Here is a 13,728-nt window from a genome sequence, read left to right on the forward strand (position 1 = left end):
ACTCACTTATTCTGTTTCACTAAGGTTTATCACCTAAGTTGTAAAATAACATCAAGAAAGCTCCCTTAATTGGGGCATCAAAATCAATCCCTCATCTATCTGATTAACAATATTATTTTCAATAAAAATTTTCTTTTTATTAATAATTTTTAATAATTTACAACTTTTTGGCAGTTTGACTAATTCTTTAATAGTATTTGACATAACTAGAAGATATTTTGATTACTTGGAGTTTTATGATACTAGAAAATTAATTTTTAAATTTAAAATTAAAAAATATTTTTATTGCACAGAAGTGTGACAGAATATCTGTAAAGGATTTTCAAGCGTAAAAGTACATACTTCATTAGAATAGCTGTGAGGAAGGTATAATGGAAGTACAAGTTCAAGGAAGAAAAGGAATACCTATTAAATAAGACCTTTTAAGTTTCATTTAAAAATTCATGACAATGGGCATAAAACTGTAATGCCATTAAATTTCCATTGTTAAATTCAAAACTGGGAATTAAAATTTTTTTTAAAAAACAAGGTTTATGATTTTCTGATATTATCTACCTCACAAATATTTAAACTTATGAGAAAAAATTTTAGATATCAACTTAAAATGAGAAGATACATAGTTTCTCAAAAAAAATGAGAAGATACACTAGCCCCAAAATTTTGAAGTTCACTGTGTAAACTATTTTGAATTGAGTTTTTGATGCCTAAAGCATTCATCTATCATCTGTCTGTCTGTTGTCTATTTATTCTTACCTATTTATCAACTTTACATGTATTTAATTTAACACACATTAAAGTTGAATGATTCTGGTCACTCCCTCTGCAGTTGCTTGTGTTTCTACTTCTTCTGCTTTATCTGGCCAGTTATTGCTCCTTACCACTTACCACTTACCAGTTTCCAATATCTGTTGACTTCTCTAGCTGGTCGTCATTTCCTTTCCCTTTTGCTTCGTCTTTTAGGATTTATGCCTTAGAAAAAAATTTTTTCTGTAATTTCAATGGGATTTCAGGTTGAAACAAATATAAGTGAATTGTTCAGTCTTCCATGTTTTATCCAGAGGCTGATAATCTCTTTCCTAACATATTTTTAACTTAATCATATAATAGGAACATTTTCCCATGTTGTTAAATATCCTTGATCATTACACATTTTAAAAGCTACATACTATTTCACTTTATGGGAGGTTATTAGTGCAATTTCTGATGGCCAGTTCAATCCATAAAAGATTTCTGTATATTCCTCAGATTCCTTATCTTTTATTTTCACTACGTATTATACATTATATATCTGCATTGTACAAAGCAGACTTGTTCTTCTTCCTTTCCTTCCACATAAATCAGCTTTGTTATATCATTGACAAGATCATCTAAGAGATAGGAATGCAATAAGGACACAAATATGGAGGTTTTCTTATTTTGGCTTTGTTCCTTTGAGTGTCATATCCCACCACTTTTGTGCAGCTAAAGCTATCACAATCCTGATCCCCAGCTGCCCTCAGCTCTCCCAAGGTGAAAGCTGATAAAATCCAAGAGGCAGTGAGGGACCAAAGGAAAACATGAACACAAAGGACATATACCATCTAACAAAAAGACCTCTCATAACTAGTAGACCCTTTCTTATCCAGGTGAGAAGAAATAATAAAAGCTCCTTATCAGTCAACTTGATCTGGAGTGGAAAGAATGAATGTAGTCTTTGAAACAGCTTAATAAAGTAGAATGGACTCGGTGGGAACATTTTAGACATAGCTTACATTCTACTCTTAACCTTTCAGGACACAGTCACTGCCCTCTGTCAATTACTGCCATCTCTTTACTGACAAGCCTGATGGGTTATAAGTCCAAGAATCTTCCAGATGCATGACAAAAAAATAAATCTCTAACACTGGTGTGGTACTTCTGGTGGCAGAAACTTAGGGTCAGAAATGGAGGAAACCATTGTAGGGAAAAAACAAGCATAAGAACTACTGTCTATCAAACAAATTTGTCATTGTGTTTATTCTTGTATAGAATATATATAAGAGTGTTTTCCTTTTTTAAAGGTAATTTTAAATGGGTCTTCATGAAAGCTAAGAGAGTTTGATTTCTTCTGTCTCTCTATTTCCATATCTTATTTTCAGATAAATCTTCTGATGGATTCCCACCTGAACCTGATCCTAATTCCAGAAACACAAAGCCTGGATTCTTTGTGTTCACTACATTTATTCTGTCTTTCCATGAGCTAAGGCTGTAAATCCCACAGTGAAGCATGCATAAACACCAACTAGACGGGATTAGACCACACTATTTAGTTAATCTCAGTTTACAAAAGCTCTTCTTTCTTTGTCTGAAAGGCTGCCACAGAAATCCAGCAAACGTGAGAATGTCTTGCACTATGGGTAGTGAGAGGGTAAAAATAACTGCTTGCCTTCATGAGCCCTCTCTCTCTTTGAGAAACTCTATGTATATTTTCAGGGTGAAGGATTTCTACTGTAAATGCTTCAAATCATCATCATGGGGGAGAAGAGCACAGCAGTATTTCCTTCCAAAATGTAAGCAGCACAACCTTCCAAGAACCTTGATGTGTAGTTAAAACGACCATGAAGGGAGCCTCCCCTGATCTCTGTCCTCCAATTTATTGCTCTCTCTCATGTTTGAAAGGTTTGTTTTGGATCCAGTGACAATAATACTGGTAGGACTATAACTAAAGTACTTTGAGTCCTAGGAGGAGGAACAAAGAATGTTTTTCTATAATATGTTAACATAACTGGACATCCATTAAATAATTGGTGTGTAGCTGGAAGTAAAAATGGCTTAAACAGAGAAAAGTTTCTATAACAGCTGTGAACACAAAGCCAACAAAGGACTTGAGGGACAAACACTTCTAATATGCTCGCAGAATCACCTGATGTCATGAGCACCTGCTTTATACAAAAACCACTGTGGCAGAAGCATCTATGTGTATACTTAGGGTAACAAACATTCCATTTCAATTTTGAATTTAAATAAAAGATGCTCTAGTCTGTTTTTTTCTTCCAATCTCAGGCTCAGGCTCTGCAGACATCTCTTTGAATCTCCCAAAAGATCATGTTTGCTTTGGTCGAAGATTAGATATTCACCCCAGTGTTCACATACTTTGTCCTCCCAAGCTGGAACAACTTGAGCTTTCAGAGTCCAAATGTGTTAGACTCATCCAGGGCTCTTGAAGTCAGTATTCAAATGCTAGCACTATAAATTATAGAATTTAGTTTGTCACAAATTAAAACTTTATTTCAGTGAAAACAGTGACTGTCACTTGTATATATTTGGTCACTGTAAATCTGCTGTAAACCAAAAGAGAAACTAAAACTAGCAAAGGGTGGTGATGGTGGCAGCGGTAGTGGCAGAGGGACATGCTAATGTATGTCTTGAAGTCTGTTTTCCTAGAATCCCAAGCTACATTGGTTGGTAATAAATAATGTGGTTAAAGAAGGCAGATTCTAAGATAGAATTTTGGACCTGGATCACCTGTAGCCTGCCTAGCAATGAAGACCTCATCAGTGGTGATAGATGGAGAACAGATACACCTTGGAACCAGGTAGTGATCTAACTTAACATTTTTCACTAATGTTACGCTAAGATGGAATACTAATGAAATGCAATGCACTGATGGGTAACATGTATAAGGTGGTTGAGAAACAATATAGGGTGTCCAGAGATAAGAGCAATCAGCTAAGGGAGGAATGGGACTAGATAATGAAGAAGCTGCAGGGCCTAACCAACTTGTAAGGGCAGGGGTCATGAGAGTATAAATGGGACAGAATTCTGAAGGTGCTAGATTCAGAAAACAGAGAAGAACAGAAAGTTAGACAAGAAAGAGTTTATCAAGTTGGAAATACTCTCCCAGTGGAGGATTTTACATCCTGACAAAGATCCTCGAAGATATCCAAAACAGGTTTTGAGGATGGCTCCTGGAAGCTTGAAGAAAGCAATGGCCACATCAAATGAAGTAGGAAAGATACATTGGGTGCAAGGCTATCATTACCATAACATTCTCTGGCCTTAGCATTTACCTACTTCTCATCTAGAAAATGCCACCGTTATTTTAAAATACAAAGTCAGAAGTTAAAAATAACTCAATATCTTAATCTCTGGAGTTTATACCTAGTTATGAATTCACTGCTAAGCAACGTGTGATAAAATACTAGTCTTTAGTGTTTAAATCTCCATCCTAGTCCAACATGCATTCATTATTATTATTATGTTTTTGAGACGGAGTCTTGCTCTGTCGCCCAGGCTGGAAGTGCAGTGGCACAATCTCGGCTCACTGCAAGCTCCGCCTCTTGGGTTCACGACATTCTCCTGCCTCAGCCTCCCAAGTAGCTGGGACTACAGGCGCCTACCACCACGCCTGGCTAATTTTTTTATTTTTAGTAGAGACAGGTTTTCACCGTGTTAGCCAGGATGGTTTCAATCTCCTGACCTTGTGATCCGCCTGCCTTAGCCTCCCAAAGTGCTGGGATTACAGGCGTGACCCACCGCGCCCGGCCCGACATGCATTTATAAATAAAGGCTGACTCATCATTGGCCTGTCCTGATTTCTCTGACTAGGAGAAGTAGTTCTTTCTATGGAGGCAATGATTTTTAGATAAGGGTGCAAATATTTTTGAAGCATTTAGAATAGGGGGTGTTTAGACAAAGGCTGTGCAGATCTGTCTGCTAACATGGCTTTAAATGCAAATTTGAGTGACAATCCAAAGCGTACTCCCTGCCAATATCATATTCCATATGAAATCTTGGCATCTTTAACAAATGATATGTTTATTGATTCAGTCTCCTTGGTTACTGCATGGTCCATGGAGAAGTGCTTTGATGTATCTGGAATAGCCATGATAGTGCTTCGGAAACAGTTTTGAATATTGGCCATTGATTTTAAACAATAAATGTTACATTTGAAATTTGTTTCTGCTCATAGAAAGAAAATCCAAATAGAAAAAAAATTGACACAGATTTAATTCTACATCACTCTTTGGACAAATTGCTTTCCTTAGATAGAACAAAGGTGTGAAAGTTGGCAGTTATATGGAACACAATCTTTCATTTGTATATCCTGCATGCTGCCTGTTTTATCCTACATACTCCATATGGGACCATTGCCTTCCAAGAACTGGACAGCATTTCCACAGATGTCCCTCCTGTGGATTGATCCGGATCCTATCAATTACACAATGGACACATTAAATTATAGAATAAGCCTGCTGTCCTGTTTTTGTGCAAATGATATTTCACAGAGCCCTCTATCCTTCTCCACTCATCCACTTCTTCAGGCATTTGACATTGATGGTTTATATCTTGGTTCTGCTCTTCTTATTCCTTTTTTTCTTTTCTGCTCTTCTCCTATATTTTTTCCTTACATTCTCTCTTTATTTTTATTTTCCTCTAAATTATTTGTCTACTCCTTCATTCTCCTCATTTTCTCTAATATTTATTTTTCACCTGACTCAATTACTTCTTTTTGGCCTCTGATCATTAAAATCCAATTCAGAGTACTTTTATATTCTTCATTGAATTGTGTGGAATGTATCTGTGGAAACTGCTAGCCTGTTCAATGGTGCGTTATTCTACTGTATTAAATTATAATTATGACTGCTTCACGTTCCCCTGCACCATTAATTTAATACCATATATGTCTAGTCTTACTTATTTTTATGTTTGTATTCTCCAGAGTCCACCACGGAGAAGATGCCCTATACGTGTATGTAAAATGCTGAATTAAATAACATTGTTTAACCATTTTGCCAGCCACAGAAATAAACTAACTTAAACTCATATGTAGCCCTGGTACATAATGCAGTGTCTGGTATATAGTAGGTGCTCAATAAAGGTCTGTTTAATAATAATAATAAATGTCTGATGGATAAAGTAAAGATAAGCATTATATACAAAGCCTGGCTTAACATATTGTTGCCAACATAAACATATTTTCTGTGTTTCTTAGGTTGATGTACCCATATTTTGGAGCAAACTGGTTTACTTGTAAAGATTATTAAGAACTCAATGGGTTAGTCAGAATTTCATCCAGTTTCTAAGGCTTGCATGTGCCTCACAAATATTTTAAGTCAACATGTCTTCTGACTACCTATCTGCCTTTCTTTCTACTTCTTTTCCCCCTGTAGCTAAGACCACAAAAAGCTTTGGCTTGCAGAAAATATACATTTCCATAGAAACCAAACCAAAAGCAATAGAAAAGGGAGAGATTGAATATAAAATGTCTTTTGGTTGCCAAATTTCAGCCCATCGCCTGATTTCTTTTAGTTTTGTGTTGATTTCTTTAATTCAATGTTAACAGCTAGACCAAGGCTTTTCAAATTAAAAAAAAACTTTAAAAATTAAAGTTTATATGTTGGCTGAGTTAAAACAGATAGTTATAAACATGCACAAACTTGAAGAATTTGGAAAAATAACCTTCATGAATGAGGTTTTTGTTTCAATGTGATTTCTATGGGGGCGTCATCTTTGCTGGGTTAAGCAAAGACGGTGTTTGCTGTAAATTTAAACTGTTCTCTGACAGCTGATGACCTCATTCATTTATAGAATTAGGATGATTTTTTTTCCCTTTTATATGAAGTGTAAGGAAAGTGTGGTTGGATATAGATAGTGGGAAGTAACAAATGGTTACATCAGCAGTTGCATAAAGGGTGTTTCTTGCTCTTCAGCAAAGTATGAATTTCTGAGAAATAAAGCAGTAGGTCTGACAACTGGCTGTGGCTTACCAAGTAATCATGGCAGGTAGCTTGTGAGTGAGCATGAGACTAGCACCACTTTCTGTACCTGGGAGCTGTGTGGTCGCACAGGGCCCTGAGCTCAGAAGGCCCCATGTTTTGTTTAATGCTCTGCTGTTGCTGTCTTGACAGTCTCAGTAATTTTTGAACAATTTAATCTTTTCACATTTTCATTTTGCAGTGAGCCCTGCAAATTACTCAGCTGGTCTACTGCATGGGACTTATCTTTCATAACATTTTCAAAGTTGGAAGAGACCACTTAGATTTTTTTCCAACCACTTAAAAAGTAGAAGACAGATTCAAAACACTGAGCAGAAATATCAGTAAATTTGTACCCTTCCATTTGAGATCCTCCAAATGTACCAGGAGTCTGTTTTATGACTTCAGCCTACCCTGGTCACCAGCAGATTGAGTGCAATAAATTTGGGGGCAGTGAAAAGCATTTTATATTGTGATAAGTAAAGATGACTTCAAAGCCAGCTTGTACTAGTGTATCTCAAAAGCCTTGAAATATGTATTTGTGTTAATTTAGCAATTCAGCCCCAGGACAAAGTATGCAAAGCTGTTACGTACAAGCATGTTTATTATAATGTTATTTGTGATAGTCAAAAATTGGAGATAATCTAAATGTGATTAGTTAAATAAATTATAATCTACTTGATGGCATATCAGGCAGCCATTAAAATGACATTTTAGGTGTGTACTACTACATATTAAAAATAATATTAGAATATTCTGTGTATAGAATGATTCATTAAAAAATCTATGCATAAATAAAAATTTACAAAGCTGTCCAACACAATGTAGTTATCTCTGGGAGGTGGGATCATCATTTTGTGTGTGTGTGTGTGTGTGTGTGTGTGTGTGTGTGTATTAATGTGTTCTGTTTTCAATAATGACTTTGTAGGGCAATTATACCAGTTAAGAACAACCAACTAACCAGGCAAAAAACAACCAACCATTTGCAAGATTTGTTTCCATGTGCAAGAAAACTGTATTACAGCTTTTCATCATTTTTTAAATAAAACGATAGGCATTAAAGAAATAATTATAAGTTAAAAAGATTCAATGGGATGTTATTTTCTTCCCATTACAGATATTATAAGCATCTTCATTTTCTTCTGGACAGTCAACTATAATTTACTGTTCTTGGGCTTTCCTCTGAAACTTCTCCAGAAACTGTGGCAGGTGCAGAATGCATCACCTCAGCTGTTATTGTATATAGGTGTGAGAGAAGTGGCAAGGCCCCCATCTGTGAGCTACATTGCTTGCCAGTTTGATAAAAAGATTCAGGACCGGATTCTCTGCCGTTAGGCTATGACTCTCTCACACCATGGAGGGAGAGAAGGTATTGTATATACTAGAATCCCTGTGTACTGCGTTCTTTCAATTCTTCCAACCACTATAGACTATCCTGACAAGTCCGCTTAGCTCTGATTCTTGCTTCAGAGGGCAGCAGCAAGGTTGAAACTTATAAAATCAGCCTGTCTGTACTTATATGTATGTGTTCCCCTCTATTAGGTCTTGATTCCATAGGTCAATTACAGTTTAATATGACAGACTGGCAAGAACCCAAACTTGTCTTGGGGTGGTGAGATTTCATTTCCTTGAGTGTTGATGGAGGTGAATTACAGTTCTTTGTGTCTATCTGAGACTTCTGCCAACATTGTGCAGTACTATGTATTAACTAATGCACAAAATCATATATTAGAGCTTTGCCTACAGCAATAGCAACACTTGTTGAGCCAGGGATTAGTCAGCACATTGGGCAGAGCCAGTTGCCTAAACCTGTTGGCCTTTTGATAGAATCTTTATGATTTGGGATTTGTTAATATTCATTACAAGATATTTACACCTAGGACCTTTTCCCTTTTTATGCAGCCTGTACAATACAGCCCTTTAAAAATATTTAGAGGCATCAGAGAAAGTTTGGCAAATATTTGTTTGTAATGTAAAAATGTAGAAATTATTATAATCAGCAATACATTTTCAGGCTATTATATTCAGATCCCAGTTGAAATTTGAGCAGATGCACAAGTTTGAAAGAAGTGCATTTATAGGGAGAGGAGATGGAATAGGAAAATTCAATCACTTTTTATTTTCTTGCTCTCTAAAGAAGCAAAAAGAAAAAGAATTAAGGCCAGGTGCAGTGGCTCACGCCTGTAATCCCAGCACTTTGGGAGGCCAAGGTGGGCAGGTCACGAGGTCAGGAGTTCAAGACCAGCCTGACCAACATGGTGAAACCCCCGTCTCTAATAAAAATACAAAAATTTGCTGGGCGTGGTGGCGAGTGCCTGTAATCCCAGCTACTCAGGAGGCTGAGGCAGGAGAATTACTTGAACCTGGGAGGTGGAGGTTGCAGTGAGCTGAGCTCGTGCCACTGCATTCTAGCCTGGGTGACAGAGTGAGACTCCATCTCAAAAATAAAAAAGAGAAAAAGAATTAAAAAGCATTTTAAAAGAAAAGAGAGCATGTTATTTTAAAGATGACTGTACATTAAGGAAATTAAGAAAAATTTACCTTAACATAACTTTGATTTTAATTGTAGTCAATTAAATTGTGTTTTTATTTGGAAAACATCTATGTTCTTTCCTTGGGTGTAACAAAGTATTAATTGAAGACTCTCAGCATTTTTTTCTTGTGTATTCTTATCTCTCTTTCTGGCAAGAGGAGTTGAAGGAAAAATTGTGCCAGAAGATGGCAGTTATAGAGAACATCTAGCAGCTAGGGGTGGGAGAGGCAAAAAAAGATGGCGGAAACCTCAGACAAACACACAGACAACAAGCTCAAATATGCCTGCACATGTGAGAGGGTACACACACACACACACACACACACACACACACACACACACATGCGCGCACACACACACAGGAATATAGCTTTTCTATATTCCCCTATGACGATATAAAGATATGGCTGCCAAAGCTACTGCTGCCAATTTGTAGGAATGTCCTCATACTGTCTTAGTAATAATGGCCACTGTTTTTCTTTTTAGGATTTGTTTCTGTTTAGAACTCTGCTTTTCAAAATCTGCAGTCTAACTTCGAAAATGCTATTCTTGTTCTTTGTCAGCTTGGCCAAAGCCATTTCTTTATATTTACATTTAGTCCAGATTGCTTGACATAATAACCTAGGCTGCTTTTGAGTTGTTGCTTTCATAGACTTAATCTAGGACAGTGCATCTCAAACTTTAATGTCTATGGGGATCTTGTCTTTGGTGTATCTCATTTTAACAAGATCTTAGGGATCTTGTTAAAAGATTCTGTTTTAGTAAGTTTGAGGTGGGGCCACAGATTCTGTATTTCTAACAAGTTCCCCGGTTATGTCAATCTTTGTCGGTCTATGGACCACACTTTGAGTAGCAAGGGTTAGGTTGCTCCACTTTAGTTCACAGCACAAGCACTGTTTAGTTATCTAGTTAATGTTATTCTCTATATCTTTCAGCCTTGCAATACAATATAAAAACATTTAATACAAAAACACTTCATATGTTTGTTCACATCATTGGTGGAGATGCTAATTTTAGTCTGTCATGGGTTATTTATTGAGTGCTGCTAGTTCAGAACTCATAATAACTCATACAACTCTTTAAGCCTCCCTTGGATTTGGTCTCTGTGATAAAGGATTGACTTCCTTCAAAACATACTTATCTTCTGGTTACTTTGTCAGTCAGAGAATATGTGATCATTAATCATTTCTTTAAGGGAAATTCACCTTAATTTAACATAACTGAATTAAACTGTTTTGCTTTGGAAAACACCTACACTCTTTTCTTGAATGCAACAAGGTGGGAATTTTTCCTTTGAATAAACAAAGTATAAATTAAAGCAGTATCTTTTAGCCAAGTATCCTTGTTTCTATTTCTTTTTGGCAGAAGAAGTTTGAAGTCCTCATGCCACATAATTGAAAGTTAACTCTTACATTCATGATGTTTAATATCTCTAGTGGACATGATGTCATTATTTGTCCAGTATAGTTCCTTTTTCCTTTGGGAATTTATTCTCTCCACTTCGAATTGAATGATTCTGGTAGGGCTTTGTTTTGTGGTTCTTTGCCCAACATTCATAGGGCTCAAGACAAGACCAATCATATTGGCACATTCCCCAGTCTAAGATGATTTAGTCCAGAGAAGGTTAAGTGACCCACCCTGAGACAGAGGTCTCCCAGGAATTGTTTTGTTTGGAGGTGAATATGAAGGGGTATTGTCCCTGGATCATGGAGCTGGTAGAAGACAAATCAGGCAACAAGATGATATTGATTTTAGTGGGAGAGAATAAGACTACTGGAAGACCAACAGAGATGGGAGATGGGTAGGTGCAGAGAGAAGAGCAGGCAGAGAAGCATTGAGATACTAGTTTCACACCACAAAGATCTGGGTTGTCTTAATTCTCTTTGGCCTTTATTTCAAATATTTGAGTTTCCCAGCTCTTAGTAGCCAAAATGTCCCTTTTTGTAAAGCCAGTTTGAGTTGGTTGTCTACTGATTATAACTGAAAGAGGCCTATTAAATATCCAATGCACATTTCTTTAGAACAGTAAAATAGAGGGATGCCTCACTGAGGCTGCTATATCTCATGGCCACGCTGTAGTTAGGGTGTATAAAGTCAATTGCAAACAAGAACCAGAATTAATGAAGAACAACTGAAACATGTCTCTTTTTGCCAGCAAGTGCATTATGCATGTGACACCAAAAGGCTAAAAACATAAAATATAATAATCATAGTTATTGTCACAACTTTGACTGAACATGAACATTCTCAAGACAAAATGCACAAAGTGAACTCAAGCTTAAAACTAAAGACATTGATTAAAGAAATAGAAAAATAAATCTGCCTGGCTCAAAAAGTAAATGAGGTCAGCCCATTTAAAACTGAACATTAGGAAAAGAAAAGCAGCTTAGACTAATTTTAATAGAAACAAAGGATTGTTTGTGAGTAATGATTTACCCGCAAAGAAGAAAAAATATTAAACGTGCATTGAATAGCAATGAAAAATGCATCAGAACATTTATCTAGGGATCTCAATCCTAACAGGAAGGTATCAGGAGGAAGCAGCCCATACTTGGGGGTAGATTTCTAAATCACCTGGAGTGGGAGACTGTTCAAACTACATGTGCTCCTCTTACTCTCTTTTTGGAGCTTCTCATATACGTTTCTAAAGGGGTATTTTTTCCTACCTCAAATCCTATTCTTAGGAGACAATCTCAGCAAGAGAATAGCAGTTATTGATATTAACTGCTGATGATGTTTAATATCTGTAGTGGACATGATGTCATTGTTTGCCCAGTATAGTTCCTCTTTCCTTTGAGTATTTATTCTTTCCACTTCCAATTGAGTTAAATAGGCTAGTAAAAATTGATTTAGACTCAGTAAAAGAGATGGCTCTTATTTAATAAAAAATTGAGTGATTTACGTGAAAACCAAAACATATATAATGTAAATAAAGATAGGATGGCTCTATTATTTTTAGTTCACAAGAACCTCTATGACAAAAGGATAGATGAAAGGACTGAGAGGCAATGGAAAGAAAATGAACAATACCTTGAAGATTATGTAGTTTATGGGGTATGTTACATCCGTTATCTCATTAAATTCTCAAAATATTATGAATTCAATAGTCATATATATTTAACAGATAAAACGATTCATAGAAACAACTTTCTCAATCACATAGTTGTTGTGTAATGGAGGCTGGACTCCAATATATTATTGTTTGGTTCCAAAGGCAATGAACATTCCAGTCCTCCGTGGATGAACAACAAATAGCTATTGAGTGCCCACATACGCCTAAAGGCCTGGTAGGGGAAGACTAATATATATAATTTACAACACAGTTCAAGTGTTTGAACAGAAATGGACACAATATGCTTGTAATAAAATAGAATTTACAACATAGTTTAAGCATTTTCAGCAGAGATGGAGACAATATGCTTGCCATAGTGTGGAACAGTGTTTTATACACTAATGTTTATGGCCTCTTGAATGAGTTATATATAGGAAATTATTGAGGGGAAGTCCTGGAGCACTAGAGAAAAAAGATCTTAAAGATGGTAATTTTCTGCAAAAAGCATCATAGCAAATTTTAATCTCATGGAACACACTTAAAGAAAAAAGCCAATACTGATTTCAGAGTCAGGAGATCACTGACTGGAACGACTTTGGCAAAGTCATTATGATTAGTGTCATCATTAATAAAACAAGGAGGCTTTACTAGGTCTTTTCTAACTTTTATTATATTTAGAAACTACAGAGTTATGAGTCTAAACTACTGATAAACTTCTCAGGCCATATTACATTTCTCTGTAAGGTTGCAAAGCCTGAAATAGATCAGTTATTCAAAATACTTTGGTGTAGGCCGGGCGCGGTGGCTCACTCCTGTAATCCCAGCATTTTGGGAGGCCGAGGTGGGTGGATCACAAGGTCAGGAGATCGAGACCATCCTGCCTAACACGGTGAAACCCCGTCTCTACTAAAAATACAAAAAAAAAAAAATAGCTGGGCATGGTGGCGGGCGCCTGTAGTCCCAGCTACTCGGGAGGCTGAGGCAGGAGAATGGCGTGAACTTGGGAGGCGGAGCTTGCAGTGAGCTGAGATCGCATGCCACCGCACTCCAGCCTGGGAGACAGCGGCGAGACTCCATCTCAAAAAAAGAAACAAAAACAAAACAACAACAACAACAAAAAAACAAAAACAAAATACTTTGGTGTATTATAATTAAGCACATTAGGCTTTCAATTATGAAAACATTAAAAATAAGAGAGCTTCCACTTCTCTATATCAATCTCAGTCATCTCTGTCCCATTATTAAATACTGGAATGCTTCACAGTTGTTTTCTTAGGCTCTACGCTCTTCTCACTCTATACTTTCTCTCTAAGATACCTCACTTTGTGATGTGTGTGGTAAACAGAAGTCTAAGATGGCCCCCATGATTACCATCCTGTGATGTACACATGCTGTGTATTTCTCTCTTTAGTGCAGATGGAACTTTT

At 36.6% G+C, this 13,728-nt stretch overlaps 1 protein-coding gene across 24 annotated transcripts in view; it reads left to right on the plus strand.

Moving 5' to 3' along the window:
* The window catches only part of TRMT11 (tRNA methyltransferase 11), a 285,804-nt gene that overhangs the window by 209,808 nt on the left and 62,268 nt on the right, over window positions 1-13,728 (plus strand). For 11 of the 24 annotated variants that reach the window (XR_007059324.1, XR_007059325.1, XR_007059326.1 and 8 more), the window contains one exon: window positions 1-5,784. This exon is cut by the window's left edge. The exons of 8 other annotated variants lie outside the window; for them this stretch is intronic. The gene's annotated coding sequence lies outside the window, so the exon portion shown is untranslated. Of the gene's footprint in view, window positions 5,785-13,728 lie in introns of those variants that run through there. 5 more of the 24 variants (XR_007059299.1, XR_007059303.1, XR_007059312.1 and 2 more) reach the window with 2 other exon arrangements.

This window comes from Homo sapiens, chromosome 6 (genome assembly GCF_000001405.40).
Source record: "Homo sapiens chromosome 6, GRCh38.p14 Primary Assembly".
NCBI lineage: Eukaryota > Metazoa > Chordata > Mammalia > Primates > Hominidae > Homo > Homo sapiens.